Source organism: Homo sapiens, chromosome 10, assembly GCF_000001405.40.
Source record: "Homo sapiens chromosome 10, GRCh38.p14 Primary Assembly".
NCBI classification, from domain to species: domain Eukaryota; kingdom Metazoa; phylum Chordata; class Mammalia; order Primates; family Hominidae; genus Homo; species Homo sapiens.
This window is the reverse complement of record NC_000010.11, coordinates 117,325,066-117,344,224: the sequence shown is the minus strand read 5'-3', so window position 1 is coordinate 117,344,224 and position 19,159 is coordinate 117,325,066. Positions and strand designations below refer to the sequence as shown.

Genomic DNA, 19,159 nt, shown 5'->3' with positions numbered 1-19,159 from the left:
TTTTGGTTTAAAATAATTTTCACGAATTTCACTGGGGAGCAGATCAGCAGGGCTCTTCATACTGTCATCCTTAAAGTCGATCTTCCTAGTTTGGGTTTTTAAGTTTTCTACAGGAGGAAGTACAGGTAGTTTGTTAAGACTATTTTGCGGGGAAGCCTGAGTGAGAAAACTGACATTTTTGAGTTAATAGGTTAATTAGGAAATAAAGACTAATGGATTTTGAAGAAAGATGATATGATGGAATAGGAAGATAAAAGAAAGTGATAGAGGTAGCCCGCTTCATTGTTTGGATTCTTTATGGGTTTGGGATACTTAAAGACTTGGACTTAAAAATTCTGAAAACCAAAGGTTCTTAGAGAATGTTAATGTGTGGATTCTATTTATTGGCTTGCCGAACATGTTCATGCTTTATCCCACCGTTTAGTATATTCATTTAAAATGGAATACGTTGTTCTGATTTTAGATTATTTTTGTGCATAAACACTCTTAGCAAAACCCCCTGAGCATTAGTAAATCCAAATTAGACTTTAATCCATATAACATTCAACTCATACTCCTGTGAGAAATTTTATTGAATTTTGACTTTATATTTGACAAGGAAAGCTGGTTCTTAGAGCAGTTGTGATTTAGCTAACTTGGATTATTAAATTCAAAGTTTCTAGTGTATATGGTTATTATAATTTTTTTACAAACTAACAGTTATATGTTTTTCAGGAGTCATAAGGACTGTGTGTTAAAAGCACCCAGCTACAACATTATATTGATATAAATTTAGTTACTAGTTTTTTTCCCTCTAAAAATTTGGTGCCAGTCTGTCTGAATCAAATGACTTCAAATGCAAATTAGCGTTTTAGTTGGGAGAAACTCGGGGGGCTTTCTGCTTTCCATACTAGTTTAGAAACAGGAGAAAACCACTGAGCATCGCCTGTGTCCCTACTTAACATTTCCTTAAAATTTTTTTCTTTAATCTTACTTACTGGGAAAACATAAAACAGCATTTAACCCCCTCTATTAGTGTCTTTCAGTATAAACTATAGTAGGCCATTGATATTTTCTAAGTGTTTATTTCAGTTTTAGTGTTAACTCTTTGTAAATCAGCGCAACACATACTCAAATCCTGATAGTGTGTGAAACATCCCGTCAGGTATGGATGATGGATGCAGAGAATTGTGAGACTAAGTCATATTTGACATTTTAAGGCATAAATGCACGCAATTTAGAGGACTGCAAGATAGAGAAGAGTGAAAGCAGCATGTATGGCCGAGTGCGAAAGAGGGGAGGATTTGGACAGGCTTTGAGGAATCTGGGAAAACTTCCAGTTGGTATGAAAGGCCTGAAGGCAGGAATATTCATAGTGTCTTCTGGGCATATGAGGTGACTTTCTAGATTGGAATGTTTATATTAAGAGAATATATGATTAGAAAGATTAATTGTGGGCTGGGTGTGGTGGCTCAGGCCTGTAATCCCAGCACTTTGGGAGGCCATGTGGGAGGCCGAGGCAGGCAGATCACTTGAGGTCAGGAGTTCAAGACTGATCTGGCCAGCGTGGCAAAACCCCATCTCTGCTAAAAATACAAAAATCATCCAGGTATAGTGGTGCATGCCTGTAATCCCAGCCACTTGGGAGGCTGAGGCAAGAGAATAGCTTGAATCAAGGAGGCAGAGGTTGCAGTGAGCCAAGATCGTGCCACTGCACTCCAGCTTGGGCAACAGAGCAAGACTGTGTCTCAAGAAAAAATAAAAAAGGAACATTAATTGTGGTGGACCTTAAATGTGAAACCAAGAACTTTTGACTATGTGTGTGTGTGTGTGTGTGTGTGTGTGTGTGTGTATCTGTTTGTGTGGTCAGTAAGAAGCCACTAAAACTTTCTGAGCAAGTAGATATCATGGCTAGTGACAATGTGTAGGGTGAATTGAAAACCACGGGGCTTTAAGCCCAATTTTCTTTCATTTTCTTTTTCTTTAGCTTTAATGGAGGAGTATGAGTTGTGTTTTAAATTAAAAGTTTTTTAAAACCTACAGTTTATAACTCAGCACAAACTTCTCCATAAAAACAACAATATTAGTGATGAGCATATGAATGCCTGGATAATTCATAGGTAACTGAGGTGTTATATAGTTGGACTTTGGAATTAGACTAGCTTGAATTCTGGTTTTGCCATTCACTTTGTAAAATTGAACAAACTTGTTAACCTTCCTAAGCTTCATTCTTTTCATCTGGAGAGAGGAGCCAATAATATTGCCCTCTTCAGGGTTGTGAGCATTAAATAAGATAATGCATGTAAAAAGCACTTAGCATACTGCCTGGCAAATAGTAAACATCTCTAATGAATATCTCTGCTGTGTTAATTGTTATTGATGTTGCTATTACAGTCATCTTTATCATGTACTAATCACTGTCTGTAATAGTCAGCTCTCTGTATTCGTGGGCTCCACATCCATGGGTTCCACATCCATGGATTCAAACAACTGTGGATTGAAAATATTTTTTAAAAATTTAATCTGCGCTGAACATGTACAGACTTTTTTCCTTGTCATTATTCTCTGAACAATATAGTCTTAACAACTATTTACATAGCATTTACATTGTATTAGGTATTATAAGTAATCTGGAGATGATTCAAAACATATGGGAGAATGTGTATAATGCAGATACTGGGCCATTTTATATTAGAGACTTGAGCATCCTGGGATTTTGGTATCCTTGGGAAGTACTGGAACCAATCCCCCATGGATGCCAAGGGGACTGTATATTATTTCCATGGAACATGCATTCTGAATTTTGATCTTGTACCGTAGGAACACTCTTCCCATCTGGTTCACAGTCTCTCTCCTGCCCCACCTAAACTTCATGGCCTACTTGCTGCCTCTAGGCTTTTCTTTTCTTTGTTCTCTCTTGCCTTATCAATGGGGGCATACCAAAAAACCAAGACTTATGGGTGCCATAGCGAAGGCACCATTTGCTGCCAGTTATGGGGGAGTGTGGTAAGCTTTGGTTTTGTAGAGCACGTGTAGTATTAGGTGTTCATTTTGCTTTGTGTTTTTGTACAGGTGAGTTTTGTTATGCTTTAAACTGTGGTGTTTATTATTCAGACATTTAGACTTATCTTTACTTTTGTCAGGTTTAAGCCGTTTTTTCCATACCAGACCTTGCAAGGATTTGAAGAAGATGAAGAGCATATCCATATACAACAATGGGCACTTACTGAAGGCCGTCTTAAAGTTACGTTGTTAGAATGTAGCAGGTATGTTCTTTGTTTTGTCATTACTAAGTTACGGGAAGAACAGTGCAGTGAAAATATTCCTAAGCAGTATTTGTGTTGTGTGTTCATTTAAATTATATTATTTACCTGTAAATTCTTTAATTGTAAATTTAATATCATAAAAGTAGTCCTTTCTAACTTTAACAAATATAAATCATATTTTAGAAAGTGTTTTAATGGAGGGAGAGGCATTTACTCTGTAGTCATTCTGACACTATTTAGATGCATAGTGCTCTGTTGGCTTATTTTTAACTTATTCTACCTACTGGGGAGCTGTTCCTATGTTAAAGAGAAAATTACTCAATGATACTTATTAAAGCAGAGTAAGGAAGTCTTTATTCAGGACCATCATGATAAGTATAGCAGCCACTGCAGTGAGGTCTTGAAGTGGGTGAGAGATTGGGCTCAACTCTGAATACAGCATGGGCAGGTGGAAATTTATAGCCAAGAAGCAATGTGGGATCAGTGGATGGAAACTTACTAAGAGGAAACATCAAGGGTAAAGGGGATTTTGGCTAAACCGACCTAACAGGATTCTTGCTAAAAACAGTCCAGGGTGATCAGACATCATGGAGGATGGTAAAGGACGATCAGATATCAAGGATAGGGGTTTCTTGCTAAACTGACTTCGCAGAGTTCTTTGCTGAAACTGGACAGATGGGCCTAGCAGAAGATTCAGAAACCTCAGTAAAGTTTGGCCTGGCAAAGAATCTTTGTCACCTATCAAAACGGTTTTGAGAATTGTTTGTGATAATTGGAAACACTCAGGAAAGTTGCAAAACTAGACTTTGAACCACTGTGGATTTTTAGCGTTTTAGAACTGGAAGCGATCTCAGAAATAATCTTGCCTAGCCTCCTTGTTTTACTTTGCCAGCACCAAAGTTTAAGCTATATTCATATCTTGCTTGAGCTACTTACTATACTAGCCTTCATATCTCCTAGTCCTCTGGTCCCCAATATAACAACCAACATGATCTTTTCAAAATGCAAATCTAATTGTCAGTCTCCTAGTTAAAACTCTTTAACAGCTTCCCCATTACTCTTAGGATGTGGACCCAAATCCTCACCATGACACACAGGTTCCTCTTAGCTCTCCAGCTTCAGTCTCACCATCCTCCGCCCAGCCCCTCATTCATAGTGCTTCAGCTACATAGGCCTTCCCAAGGCAAGGTGTTGGCAGACTGTTTCTCTAAGGGGCCAGATAGTACATTTTAGGCTGTGATTCACATGCTCTCTGTTGCAACTATACAACTCTGCCTTGCAGTACAGAAGCAGTCACAGATAATGTGTAACTGAATGAATGTGGCTGTGTGCCAGTAAAACTTTGTATATGAATTTTGTAATTTTCATATGTTATAAAATATTCTTTTGATACTTTTCAACCATTTAAAAACATAGAAACCCTTGATAGCCCACAGGTTATACAAAACAGGCAGTGGACTGAATTTAGACCATAAGCTGTAGTTTGCCATTCCCTACTTAAATATTTTAAAGCACCAAGCCCATTGTGTTGACTAGCTGCTGCTTTCTTGGCCCCCTTCTCTGCTCCATGAAGCCAACCTTTCTTGGTTTGGTTCAAAAGCTACCTTCTTAATGTATCTCCTGATCATTCCAAGTACAAGTATACTATCCTCCGGCTACATTTCTTTGACACTTGTTTGTACCACTTACTTGGTACATATGACTTTTATTTCCAACCCATAATACAATTAAGTACTTGAGCACACAGGTTATATTTTATATCTAATACATTTGTGTCCTTGCTAATGGTTAGGTTAGTTTTGAGTATACTAATAATATACTTAATCCTTTTTTTTTTTTTTTTTTTTTTTTGGTTAAGTCCAGGGTGACTCAGGATTGTGTATCATTATGTTAGAAAGCCTGGTAGACAAAGAATCCCTTTTTTTTTAAATCAAAAAAAGACTAAATATGTTGTCTATTTTGTAAAAGGAACTGCAGTGTACAGTAAAATACATATAATAGGTACTATGCTAGGTATTTAGAAAATACTAGTTCATTTGCTTTAATGTTGCTGGTGGGGTTAGGTATTGATTATATGTCTGTTAGCTTGTAGCTATTTAACCACTAGCTTTGGTGTCAGCTTTGCTCACCACATTTTTGCTTTACCTGCAGTACTGCTCACTTAAAGCCTTGCTACAGGAATCAAAGACTGCATGTAAGGCATTGAGAAAGTATAGCCAGACATTCTTTAGGTCATGTTGAGATAAATGAAAAGAAAAGCATTAGAATGTGTGAAGTACCTGTAACCAACTTTATTTTAATAAGGAACTGTGTAATAAATCTCTGAAAGGATAAGTGAGAAACCAATAAGAATTTTTACGGGGTATACAGGGAAGGAACTGGGTTGATGATGATGGACAGGGGTCAAGGTGATAGCCCAGCTATTCACTATAAACTTGTTTATGTTGTTTTATTTATCACCTGGTCAAAAATTAAGGTCCAGTATTTTTAGAGAGTACATAATTAGGCTGAAGGGAAAAACATGGAAAAATAGTTTTTTTAATATCTGAAGTTATGTAACTGTCGGCTTAGGTTATATAGCCAGCACCTTTCCCCAAGTGATAGATTCATCTTGGGAACAAGTACACTATCTAGAGATTTCCTTGTGCCATTTTTACAAATCCAAGCATGTAAAAGTTACTCAGTGTTGTGGTACTGTGTTATTGTTTACATAGTTTAAGAATTATTTGTGTATGAAGGCAAGAGTAAGTCTCAACTCATTCCTGCTTTTTTGTCTTCGTATTAAGTCCTAACATTCTTTCCGTTAAAAACTTAACGTTACTGTTTTTCTTGTAAACTTTTTTCTTAGTATAAAAACAGAAAACTCTGTTCAGGTAGATTTTAAGTTTATAGGATTCAAACTAAAGAGGACATATTACTGTAACCTAAGCATTTTTATTTCAATAGTTAATCTCATTTTGAATATAAATTCAGCTTGTGTGTTTTATTCTAATTCCTGAAGCAAAAAGAGGCACTAGAGAAAATGAAAGCACAAATAACAGTGCTTTCTTTTTGGAAGAAGGACCAAAAAAATGCTTATTACTTCATATATAGTGGAATAACATAGACTTTTGAGTTATAGAAAGCACTGAATTCAATCTAGCCATATGCCCTTATATAGTGTCACTAGGCAAGTTACACATCTGTGAAATGGGCAAGGGAGCTACTTTGCTGGTAATTGTAATCAGAGATAGGCAACTACCCACAATGCCTACCACATAGGATACCTACAGTAGATGTAGCTTCTATTATTATGTCTCAAGATAATCGTTGCAGTATCTGTGAAGAAAAAACGGCATGTTTTTTCTTGCATATTTGTTTGTGAGAATTGGAATTTGAATTTTATTAATTTAAAAAGGTCTCATATTGTAAAGGGAGGTTCTTTCCTAACTATCTGAAATACTGTTTCGCATTTCCCAAGCAATAGCTTGAGGGTGGAAAGGCAGTATTATGTGTAAAAATTGGTTTTCACATTTTGCTTTTGTCAAGTATTTTTTAAAAAGCAGTCATTCTGAACAATTGCATGTTTTTTTGAGTTGATGAAAGCTGATTTTTTTTAACCACAGATGAATGCAATGGCTGTTTGTCGTACTGCTAGTAGGTGAAATTATTTCACATTAGTGTTGCAATCAGATTGTTAAGATGATTATTTTTAAATTTATAATTTATAGTCTATCTTCTGTCTTGAAGGATAGAAGATATTTGAGATATTTTGCAAAGAAAACATGTAAGCATGTATACTTAAGCAGAAGATATATTAGATCAAAAACATGGAAAAGAGATCAATTTTCTGGCAGCTAAGACAACAAAGGAAACTTTACGGATTAGTTAGATCTTACTTTTTTTTTTTTTGAGATGGAGTCTCACTCTGTGGCCCAGGCTGGAGTGCAGTGGCATGATCTCGGCTCACTGCAAGCTCCACCTCCTGGGTTCACGCCATTCTTTTGCCTCAGCCTCCCAAGTAGCTGGGACTACAGGCGCCCACCACCATGCCCAGCTAGGGTGTTTGGTCTCACTGGATTTCAATATTACATCTTTTTTTTTTTTAAGTTTTAAATGTTAAATATAACACAAATACAGAAAACCACAGCAGTTGACATTCTATTCTGTTACCAAGAGTCTTCCCTTATTCTTAGTTTATTGTCACCATTGACCCATGAATTTTTATTTTTCTCAATGGTTATAATTCTTTACTGTCCTTAATTATTTTGGTGTCTAAATTGTCTCAGATTTGGCCAGTAGGAACCCCCTCAAGATGGATCCTGTGTGTGATATGACCCCATCTTTTTTTTTGTCTTTTTTTTTTAGACTTCATTACTTTCTGATGTAACAAGCTGTTCTGCATTTATCTTCTATCTTCTCTGCCACGGTCCCAGAACAACTATTTTTCCAAAGAGCCCCAATTCTTTTTATTTTTAGCTGAGACTACAGGCATGTTCCACCATGACTAGCTGCCTAGTTCATTTTAGTAAAGGATGGTATTATTAATAGAAACTAAGATCTGAATGTTGGGTGTGTTTATTGCTACTTCATATATTCATAGACCTCTTCAGAGGACACTTAGGAAATATATTCATGTATCAATACTTATACATGCATACACATACGTAATTTAGAAATCATGAGTTCACCTGATACAGGTTGAGCAACCTTAATCTGAAAAATTTGAAATCCCAAATGCTCCAGAATCTGAGTGTTTTTCGGTGCTGACATGATGCCACAAGTAGAAAATACACACCTGACACCTTCGCTTTCTGATGGTTCACTGTACACAAACTTTGTTTCATGCAGGAAACAATATTTTTGTATAAAATTACCTTCAGGCTATAAAGTGTATATGAAACAAATTAATTTTGTGTTTAGACTTGGGTCTCATCTTCAAGATATCTCGTTAAATATAAGCAAATATTCCAAAATCTGAAGCACTCCTGGTCCTAAGCATTTTGGATAAAGAATGTGCAAACCTGTACCTCCAACTCTAGTTCATCCTTATGGAATTGTTCCTTGCTTTGGTTCTTCCTCCAATTCTTACTTCATGGCTCTCAACAACATCGGCACTTTTATTCACTTGCTCAATCCTATAATAATCTTAATTAGTTTCAGAATGCATTGTCCATACAAGTACAAAAAACATAATACAAAGAGTTCAGGATTCCTTTGTAATTCTCCCTTACCCTGCCCAAGGTTGAGGGAACGTGGGGGTCAAGTACTGTGTTCTTAAATTATTTAGACTTGTTTTTCCTCTTTGGTGTGATTATGGTGTTCATTTAAAATATAGTTGGGTTTGTTTCAGATTGCTTTCAGATTTAGTCTCCCCCCACTCCTACTTTTCTTCATCCTTACTGATTTTCGCTTTTAAATACATAGAGTATTAACATGCTTCTGCAAACCCAGAACTGTACAAAAAGATATACAGATGGTATATAGGTTATTAAACCATCAGTGGTGTTATTTTTGCCTTACACTGTTATCTGTCCTTTAAAGAAATTAAAAGAAGAACAAACTTTGGTAGTGGTGGGTTGTTTTTACATTTACTGTATATTTACCATTTCTGTTGCCCTTTATTTCTTCTTTTATATCAAAATTGTCATCTGGTATTCCTTCCCTTTATCCTGCAGAACTTCCTTTAGTGCTTCTTGTTATGTAGGTCTGCTGGCAACAAATTAACTCATTTTTTGCTTACCTGGAAATTTATTTTCCTTTCATCTGTTCCTTCAGCACTTTGGCTATGTCAATCCCATATTCTGATGAGAAGTCAGCAACTTTTTTTATTCTTCCCCCATATGTAACATGTTGTTTTTCTCTGGCTGCTTTCCAACCTTTTACTTTATGTTTGGCTTTCAGCACTTAGACCATGTCTGAGGGAGCTTTCTTTGTGTTTTTTCCTGCTTCCATTTCAGTTAGCTTCTTGGATATATGAATTAATGGTTACAACCAAATTTGGGAGCTTGGGCTATTTTTTTTTTCCAATTGTTTTGGCCTTTTTTTCCCACCTCTCTTATTCTAAATTACATATTATGTTGGGCTGTTTCATTTTCCCATAGGTCCCCTGAGGTTTGGTTTGTTTGCTTGTTTATTTGTTTGTTTCTTTAAATTCTTTTTCTCTGTGTACTTTGGATTGAGTAATTCACGTGGTCTAATTTCAGGTTCACTGAGTCTTCTCCTATCTCCAGTTTTCTGTTGAGCTCATCTAGTGAATTTTTAATCTCATTTATTATACTTTTTGGCTCTAGAATTTCTGTTTTGTATAGTGTCTCATTTCTATGTTGATATTTCCTATCTGTTCACTCATTATGTTTTCCTTTAATTCTTTGAACAAATGTTCTGTCAGTTTTTTGAGCCATATATATATATAATGGCTGCATTGAAGCCTTGATCTGCTAAATCTAGTATCTGAGCACATTAGGAGTCAGTTTTGTTTTGTTTTGTTTTGAGACAGGGTCTTGCTCTGTCACCCAAGCTGGAGTGCAGTTACATGATCATGCCTTACCACAGCCTTGACCTCCTGGGCTCAAGCGATCCTCCCGCCTCAGCCTCCCAAGTAGCTGGGACCACAGGCATGTGACACCAACATCTGGCTAATTTTTTGTATTTTTAGTAGAGAAAGAGTTTTATCCTGTTGCTTAGGCTAGTCATAAACTCCTGCTTCAACCAGCTTCATCCAGCCCACCAGCTTCAACCTCCCAAAGTGCTGGGCATGAAGCCCAACATTACAGGCATGAAGCCCTGTGCCCTGCCTGCAGCTGCAGTTTTTTGATAATTGAAATATTAATCTCAAAGCAGGCTTCTGTCTACATTCAGAAGGTTTTCATTGTCTTTAAATGTGATAAAAAATTTTGTTTATCCAGTTTTTATAATTACAATCTGTGGAAGAATTTGAGTGACACTTCACTACTGTTAAAGTATTGGCCACCTCATTTTGTTGTACATGTTGTTGAATTTTGCTTTTGTTTCCCTCATTGCTTTTTGTCCTTTTATGGGGGGGTTTTGGGGAGACTCAAAACTGTGTCACCACTCTTGACATCATTCTGGAACCAGAAATACATTGATCTTTTAAGGCAAAGAAAATCATTTAATTATGTGATTAAATTCTTTTTTAGTGTTGTCATCTGGTCTTGATTCACATATTAGGTGAAGCATTTTCAAAGTAGAAGTTTGACAGAAGAGAGAAATAGGGAATTAATCCTTTAAATAGCATTATGTTCATATTTTAAAGTGAAATGTTTAGTTCTGTAGGGAAGGCTGCTAATATTATGAAATTTTGAAATTCATTTACAAGAGGAGCTATTTTAGTAGTTATAACTTCAAAATATTTCCAGTTTGCATTTGTCTATGAATCCCGTTTATGTTAGCATTGAGTTTGATTAAATTTGTTTGGTTATTTTGGCTTGAATATAACTTAAATCCACCTGAAGCAAATGAGGCTAAATAATAATATTTGCTTTTTTCCTGAGTAGTTGGTATGTGGGTGCTTCTTATATTACCTGCCTTTATTTTAATGTTTTGACATTTTTTTAAGGAAAAATATCTAGCTAAATCTGAAGATATTTGGGGCATGGCTCTACAAATAATTGTATTATTAGTTGTACTTATTATCTGCAATATGTAGGTACTTTACTGCATGTATTATTTTCAGCTCTTAGAGCATCGTTACAAGATTAGTGTTATTATATCCATTTTATAGATGAACTGAGATCCACAAGTTACTTGCTCAGTACCACTGGAATTTGAATCTAGTTTTGTCTAACTCCAGAGTTCCTCGGTCTTTCTGTTATCTTATTCTGCCTCCATATCCCCTTTTTTTTTTTTTTTTTTTTTTTTTTGAGACAGAGTCCACTCTGCTGTCCAGGCTGGAGTGCAATGGTGCAATCTCCACTCACCACAACCTATGCCTACCAAGTTCAAGTGATTCTCCTGCCTCAGCTTCTCAAATAGCTGAGATTACAGGCACCCGCCACCACACCCATCTAATTTTTGTATTTTTAGTAGAGACGGGCGTTTCACCATGTTGGCCTGGCTGGTCTCAAACTCCTGACCTCAAGTGATCTGCCTGCCTTGGCCCCCCAAAGTGCTGGGATTACAGGCATGAGCCACCACGCCTGGCCCATATCCTTTTTTAAAAAAACTTTACAGAGGCCAGGCGTGGTGATTCACGCCTGTAATCCCAGCACTTTGGGAGGCCGAGGTGGGTGGATCACCTGAGGTCGGGAGTTCAAGACCAGCCTGATCAACATGGAGAAACCCCATTTCTGCTAAAAATACAAAACTTAGCCAGGCGTGGTGGCATATGCCTGTAATCCCAGTTACTCGGGAGGCTGAGGCAAGATAATCACCTGAACCCAGGAGGCGGAGGTTGCGGTGAGTCAAGATGGCGCCATTGCACTCCAGCCTGGGCAACAAGAGCAGAACTCAGTCTCAAAAAAAAAAAAAAAAAAAAAAACCCTTACAGAATAAAAATTATTTTGGTTCTGAAAACTTTTATATTATGTTAGAAGTGTAGGTTTTGGAAAATTGTAACATTTTTTAGGGCAGGGCATTATTTTTAAAATAAATTACCTTTTCAGAAAGATCGAGGGATGGAGAAATGTGTATAATAATGAAGTATTTTTTAGTTGAAGGCTGAAGTTCTGTTTTTTGTTTTTTGTTTTTTTCTTGGAGGGAACGATAAGAGGAAATTAGCTCAGGCATAAGACATTTAAATTTGTATAAAGGAAAAGTTGCACTCAAAATGAATGCTTTTGAAAACCAGAAGGAATTACTTGGAATTGTTGCTGAATATTATTCCTCAAAGTCTTTAAAGCTGTGTAATTCTGTGTAAATTTAGGCATAACTCTACCAGATGAACCAAGTTCCTGTAAAGATTTTGAGACTATGTTTGCATTTATTAATTATTTAACATCTTATATGCAGTTAAATAAAAGTTGAGTGATGTTTTCCGTTAGTTTTTATACATTTCTCTCAGATATAAAGAATCTTCCGTATAATTAGGTTGCTTTTGACTAGAGGCAGACTTTTCAAAAGACTGCAAATTTGGAATTTCTCCCTCCTGTATTTATGTAGGCTCTCTTTTCTTCCCCATATCCTTTTCCCTAAGGTTGTGATGCTGGAAAATAGCCTTGTTTCTTTTGTAATTGTATACCTCCACTACTGTTTCATACTACAAAATATAGCTCTTTAATTCTTCTGATGTCTGAATTGTAAGAGAATGTAAGAAAACTAAGTAGGAACACAGCTGACATAATACCAGTGCTCTTTTTTAAAATGCCATACTCCAAAATGTTTTAAATGCTGTATTGGTATGCTATACACTCATACAATACCTTCAGCAAAAATGAACTGTGGTCAGAAAATAATAATTTAAAAGAGGATTGTGTCTTTGATAATCAGTGCTTTTAATGTATTTTATTCACGGGTAGCATTTGTAATTTTAACCAAAAGACAACTGCCTTTATTTTCTCTCTTTCAAAATTTTTTCAACCCATTTGTCTCAACTTATATAGTCCAGACTTTTCATTTATTAGCTGTGCAATGTCTGGCATGTTACTCAACCTCTCTGTGTTCATTTTCTAATGTGTAAATTAGGGGTAATACCATTACCTATTTCCTTGAGTAATTGTGAAAATTAAATGAAATAATAAATGTAAAGCTCTTAGAATTGTCCTTACAGTAAATGTTAGCTGCTTCAACTATTTCTGCTACTACCACCACCACTACTGCTTCCACCACACTACCACCAGTCTTTCCAACATCAATAGTGAATGCATTTTGTCTAAATACTACGATGAATACAAAAAATATGGAGCTCAGTGTCTGCCCTCTAGAAACTTAAAATGTAGTTAGGGCTAACAGACAAAAACAAATGCATAAATAAGTCAACTATATGAGGCTGTCTAATTTGAATTGAGGCTTAAGTGATGGGTAGTATAGAAACTTAGTGCAAGGAAAAAGTATTTTTGAATTGACACTACCATGGAAAACTTCATGGATAAGATTCAGGAAACTAGATGGATTGTAGATTTTAGGTAATTGGAAAAAGAGCCATAAGATAAAAGAGAATTAGAATTGTAAAGTATTTTCCAGGTCTTGTCTGAATGAAGTGTAGATGTCTCAGGGCCAAATTTGCTGGCAAGAGAAGTTACAATGGTGATCCTTTAATCAGAGAAAAGTTATTGAAGGTGATATTAAGAAAAATGTGCATATTTATGGAGTAAATTGTATATATAGAGATTGAAGTCCCAGAGACAAATTTAAGAGGTGTTGTGGGTTAAAGGTGAGGAAGTAAATGCCTCATAGATATGTTTTAATAGGAACAAGAAGGAAGGGACACGTGGGATAACTAGGACAGGGTTTAGTGAGTGACTGAATATATGGATGAGTTAATAGGCAGGGGAGGCAAAGGAACTCTAAGGATCTGAGTGTAGGAGAGTTATGTATCCATTGACGTTGATCTGCTCAGCAAGTACTGATTATTTTCTGCATGTTATAGGATAGAAAGAACAAGACACAGTTACCTTCCAGGACTGGATGGGGAAATAGAGGTACTCATTTCAAAGGCAGATGAATTTGATTTTACATATCTTAAGTAGTAAGGCATGGTTAGATTTCCCTGTAGGAGTGTTCTGCAAACTCTTGGGGTTTTAGAGGTAGCAGGGGGAAAATGAGGACTGAAGATTAGATTTGGAAGTCGTGAAAATTGAGGAAAATTGAGTTCTGCATGAGGATGTTTCTGAGGGGGGTTGGGAATATAGAGAGGAGGTGAGCATGTATAAAAGGTCAACCAAGCCTGATTCTTTTAACAACAGGTGAAGTGGTATTTGACCCCCTTCAAGTGCAGGGTTTTCCTTTCAAATTAAGTTTAGTCACCAAAGGAAAAAAAAAAAACAGATTTTTCCCTCCCTCCCTCCCTCCCTCCTTCCCTCCCTCCCTCCCTCCCTCCCTCCCTTCCTTCCTTCCTTCCTTCCTTCCTTCCTTCCCTTCCTCCCTCCTTCCTTTCTTGAGACAGGGTCTCATTCTGTCACCAAGACTGGAGTGCAGTGTCTTGGTCTTGCCTCACTGCAACCTCCACCCGCCAGGCTCAAGCAATCCTCCCACTTCAGCCTCCCGAGTAGCTAGGACTACAGGCATACACCACCATACCCAACTCCTTTTTGTATTTTTTGTAGAGACAGAGTTTTGCCATGTTGCCCAGGCTCGTCTTGAATTCCTGGCCTCAAGGTATTCACCTACTTTGGCCTCTCCGAGTGCTGGGATTACAGGCATGAGCCACCATGCCCCATCATTTTGTACTTTTCTTTGTAGAAATGACTTTCTTATAGCATGAGCATTGGGAATTACTTTCCTTTTCTCATTGGTTTCATCTTTAATCCATTTATACCTAGTGTTCCATTATTGGAACTCTAAGCTTGTGGGAGTTATTTATATCCTACTGCTCAACGTCATCGCCAAGGTCTGATTTTTCACAAAAAAATTTTTCAACCTCCGGTATAAATGGGTTAATCATGTAAACGATCTTAACATGTTTCTAGGTGGTGTTTGTATTTATGCTTACTGGAAGGTTTCAACATACCTTTGCCTTTAAAAGAATACTTTGAACTTGGTAAGAAATTTCACAGAGGTAATAGCTCTTTCAGGAGATAGACGGCAATTTAGAGGAGATAAAAGGCAATTTCTTTTGCTTTTTTGTTTAGTAGTACTGACTTCCCTTTGGAAGTAGTAGTAGTAGAAATTTATTTATACTCATTTATTGCATATTTAACACATGTTTGTTTATATTTATGCAAAATATTTATTAGCCAGTGATTGTTACTGCTTGCTTCTGGTCATTATATAATTTGAATGGAAAGCCTGTCTTTGTTTAAGATTGAACTGTAAGAAATGTGAAATGAAAAGTTATCCTTTTGTTTAAATGTAGAGATTATAATTCACCTTAAGCTAAAGCAAATGTCGTCTATATTCACCTAACTGGCTGGTACTCACGTTTCCAGTGGGAACTCCTTTCTGGCATTTCTTCAGAAATTTCCATGTTTTTCAAATACCAAGAGGAGATATCAGTCAAGGCCTGGTGCTGTGGCCCACGCCTATAATCCCAACACTTTGGGAGGCTGAGGAGGGAGGATTATATTTAATTATAGATCTAATTGGCTTTTATTTATGATTCATGAATTAAGACAGCTTCTGTTCTGCAAATAGAATGAAAACTCCCACTGGGCATTGGCAAAACAGTGGGTTTGGTAAGGTAGAAACAAGGAAATAGAACAATAGGAAAAAAAAAGACTGATTGGTTAACATAAGTTACTTTTTCGTAAGAGAGTTTGAGGCAACATAGTGAGACCTTCTCTCTACAAAAACATAGAAAAAAAAAATTAGCTGGGCATGGTGGCTCGTGCCTGTAGTCCCAGTTATTCCAGAGGCTGAGGTGAGAGGATTGCTTAAGCCTGGGAAGTCAAGGCAGCAGTGAGCCATGATCACAGTGCTTCACTCTAGCCTGGGCGACAGAGCAAGACCCTGTCTCCAAAAAAAATAATAATAATAAAAAAAGAGAGATCTTAAGAAATCAGGAAAATGCAGGGGAGGGGGGAATATTGTAATTCTTCTGAGAATTAAAGCTTGACAGTCAACATAGAGCCACTGCTGGTTGAAGGAATCCATTGATGTCAGGTCAAAAGCAGGCACAAGAAGCACTGACATAGGGAATTAGGTCCCAGAAACCAAATCTGGAACTTGTAGGAGAGAAACAATCACATTCTGAACAGTTAGTCTTGAGTATAACTTTGGTGATGGGAGTCATTCTTGCAAACAAAATAAATAAGTTGGTGCACATATTATACTTTATATAAATCCTAAGAAATAATTTTTTTTTCCAAGAAATAAGTTTTGGAGCAAAACAAATCCTTAAATTGGCAGATTGGACAGATGCTTCTGTGTAGTGAAGCTAACCTTTGTAGGAGACACTAATGTTATTTTATTAGAGTGGTAATAATGCTTGTGGGTGTTTTCCAGTATTTGAATATCCACTAAAAGCTACAGTTCTTTATATATACTTCAACAGAAGAAATGTAAAGAGAAGATGTGAATGTTGCATAATTCTGTGACAGAATAAAAAAGTAATCTAAAAATCAGAATTAATAAAAGCCATATCCATTTCAAAGGTAAAACCAAATTCAGAATAATTGGACAAAATATTTTCATCATGGAAAAAAGTAAATGTATGTGAAGCAATGTGTACCCTAACACCTGTCAAAAGACAATTATAACATTTAATTATAGATTGAATTGGCTTTTATTCATGATTCATGAATCAGGACAGCCTCTGTTCTGCAAATAGAATGAAAACTCCCACTGGGCAATGGCAGAAAGAACAGTAGGTTTGGTAAGGTGGAAACAAGGAAACAGAACAATAGAAAAAAAACCTGATTGGTTAACATAAGTTACTTCTTGGTAAAGATTAAAGCACAGGGGACTGACTTATGCTAACTCAGGTAGACTGGAATCACCTGTTTTCAGGAAAAACTAGTCTGTTGGCATCTATTTGCTTATATGGCATTTAACATTACAGAGACTGTATTTTGATTTGGTCTGTTTTGTTAGGGCCTAATGCAGGAGCTTAGTCCAAAACAATGGCCTCCCATAATTTTTGTTTAACAATTCCCCCCATTTGGTCACAGTCTCACCTAGGTGAGATCCTTTAGTACCCCTAGGTGAGAGTCTGACCAAAACTTAGGGCATTAGTGCTACTTTCAGTTTCTATCATTCTGCATTGCCAGTTTCAACATGCCATTCATGGATTACAGGGTCCTCATGGTCACTCATTTCTTTGAGTTTTTGTTGTTCCAGCCAAGAGAGACCATTTGACGTTTCACGGATGGCTGCATGTAAACATTCAAAGCATTTGAGAGAATACAGTGCATAGGGAGACTACTACTATCAGAAGGATAGTATGAAGAGTTTGGAGTATGTTCCCTAAGCAGGGTCCCCATGAACCAAAGCAATCAAATCAGATAGATCAAAGAATGAGCTATATTAGAAGTCTACCCATTTTAACCAAGTCGCCTTTTGTTAATTTTTTGTACCTGAGTCTCTTTAATACCAGATGTATTTATCCATCTGTAACAAGAAGTGTCTGCAACTGCACAGATGCCTCCCTGTTCAGCTAGTAGGTAGAAATTCTATTATCCAGCTTCCCATGACTGTGCTAATTTAAAACAAGGAGAGAGAATGAGTGGTTCTAGAAGTCTAACTCTATGCAAGGGACCACTAGTTCAATTTGAACAAACAGTTGTATTAGAGATGTTGCTAAAGTTAACCACTAGGTATATTAAAGGATCTCTTAGGTCATGTAAAGATTTGGGTTTGACATGACAGATCCAGCACTTCATCAAGTTACCTACAGAAGCTGTTTGATTGTGGAATTTTGATTACAGCATTATCCTGCGCCAAGCAAAAGAGGAAAGCTTAAGCAAGGCATTAAGAGAGGTGAGAGTCTCATTATGATGAGGAGGCTTGTTCCAAAGTCTTGGGAAAAGCTATCCACAGCACAAAGCTATCAACTTCTTGTCCTGGTTCACTGTTTTAATGTCTCTGGTTATGGCATAGGGTGATTTGCTGAACTCTGTGTGGCCCACACATTAGGCATGAAACTTGTCTCTTGAAATTTATATTGATTTGTCTAGCTTCACCTTATAGGGATTAAAGAACAGAGCAGTTATTATTCTTAGTTGGAGAGTTGTATGGAGCCAGATATTGGAGGTGTATTAGTCCGTTCTCATGCTGCTATAAAGAAATATCCAAGACTGGGTAATTTATAAAGAAAAGAGGTTTAATTGACTCACAGTTCTGCATGGCTGGGGAGGCCTCAGGACACTTAGAATCATAGTGGAAGGGGAAGAAGAAGCAGGCACCTTCTTCACAAGGTGACAGGAGAGAGATTGAGTGCGAGCAGGGGAAATGCCAGACACTTACAAAACCATCACATCTTGTGAGTCTCACTCACTATCACAAGAACAGCATGGGGGAAACCATCCCCACGATCCAATTACCTTCACCTGGTCCCACCCTTGACATATAGGGATTATGGGGATTACAGTTCAAGGTGAGATTTGGGTGGGGAAACGGAGCCAAACCGTATCAGGAGGAAACTAGAAGAATCCAGGATCCAGTTCAGTCTATAGGAAGATAATAAAAACTTACAGTGAACCAGGCTGTAATCTAACAGATGAAGTGTGGATTTTTTCATAGTTTTGGCTGGGCGTGGTGGCTCATGCCTGTAATCTCAGCACTTTGGGAGGCTGAGGTGGGCAGATCACTTGAGGCCAGGAGTTTGAAACCAGCCTGGCCAATATGGCGGAACCCCATCTCTGCTAAACATACAAAAATTAGCCAGGCATGGTGGCACGCGCCTGTAATCCCAGCTACTTGGGAGGTTCAGGCACAAGAATTGCTTGAACCCAGGAGGTGGAGGTTGTAGTGAGCTGAGATTGCACCACTGCACTCCAGCTTGGGTGACAGAGCTAGACTCTGTCTCAAAAAAAAAAAAAAAAGTTGGCTTTTCTGGAACTTTTGATAGGTAATCTCAAATAAGTCTTTTAGACTTTTAAAAGACTCTCAAGGCTGTGAAGCCAAACCCAGGGCTCACCATTAAACGTCACCTATAGTACTTAATAGATTATGGTGAATTCCTCTCTGAGGTCCCAAAAATATCCTGAGTTTCCTGGGCCTGTCAGGAAGTGACATTTTTCACCCCGCTATAAGACCACCGGCTGGGCTGTTGTATTCAAGGTACCAGGCCAGTTTTTCCATGGTGGCAGTTGGGGAGAGGGGTGACAGAGGTGTTAATGGCGCCACAAAGTCAACTTTAATTCCTTGAAGTTGTCTGGTCA

The 19,159-nt window shown here is 37.3% G+C and overlaps 1 protein-coding gene across 8 annotated transcripts in view; it reads left to right on the top strand.

Moving 5' to 3' along the window:
* The window catches only part of PDZD8 (PDZ domain containing 8), a 98,167-nt gene that overhangs the window by 31,216 nt on the left and 47,792 nt on the right, over window positions 1–19,159 (top strand). For 7 of the 8 annotated variants that reach the window (XR_945602.3, XR_007061943.1, NM_173791.5 and 4 more), the window contains exon 2: window positions 3,123–3,245. The exons of the other annotated variant lie outside the window; for it this stretch is intronic. Coding sequence is in view for 5 of the 7 variants with exons in the window: in NM_173791.5 (NP_776152.1) it covers window positions 3,123–3,245 (123 nt within the window). In the remaining 2 variants the exon portion in view is untranslated. The remainder of the gene's footprint in view (window positions 1–3,122; window positions 3,246–19,159) is intronic. 8 annotated transcript variants of the gene reach the window in all.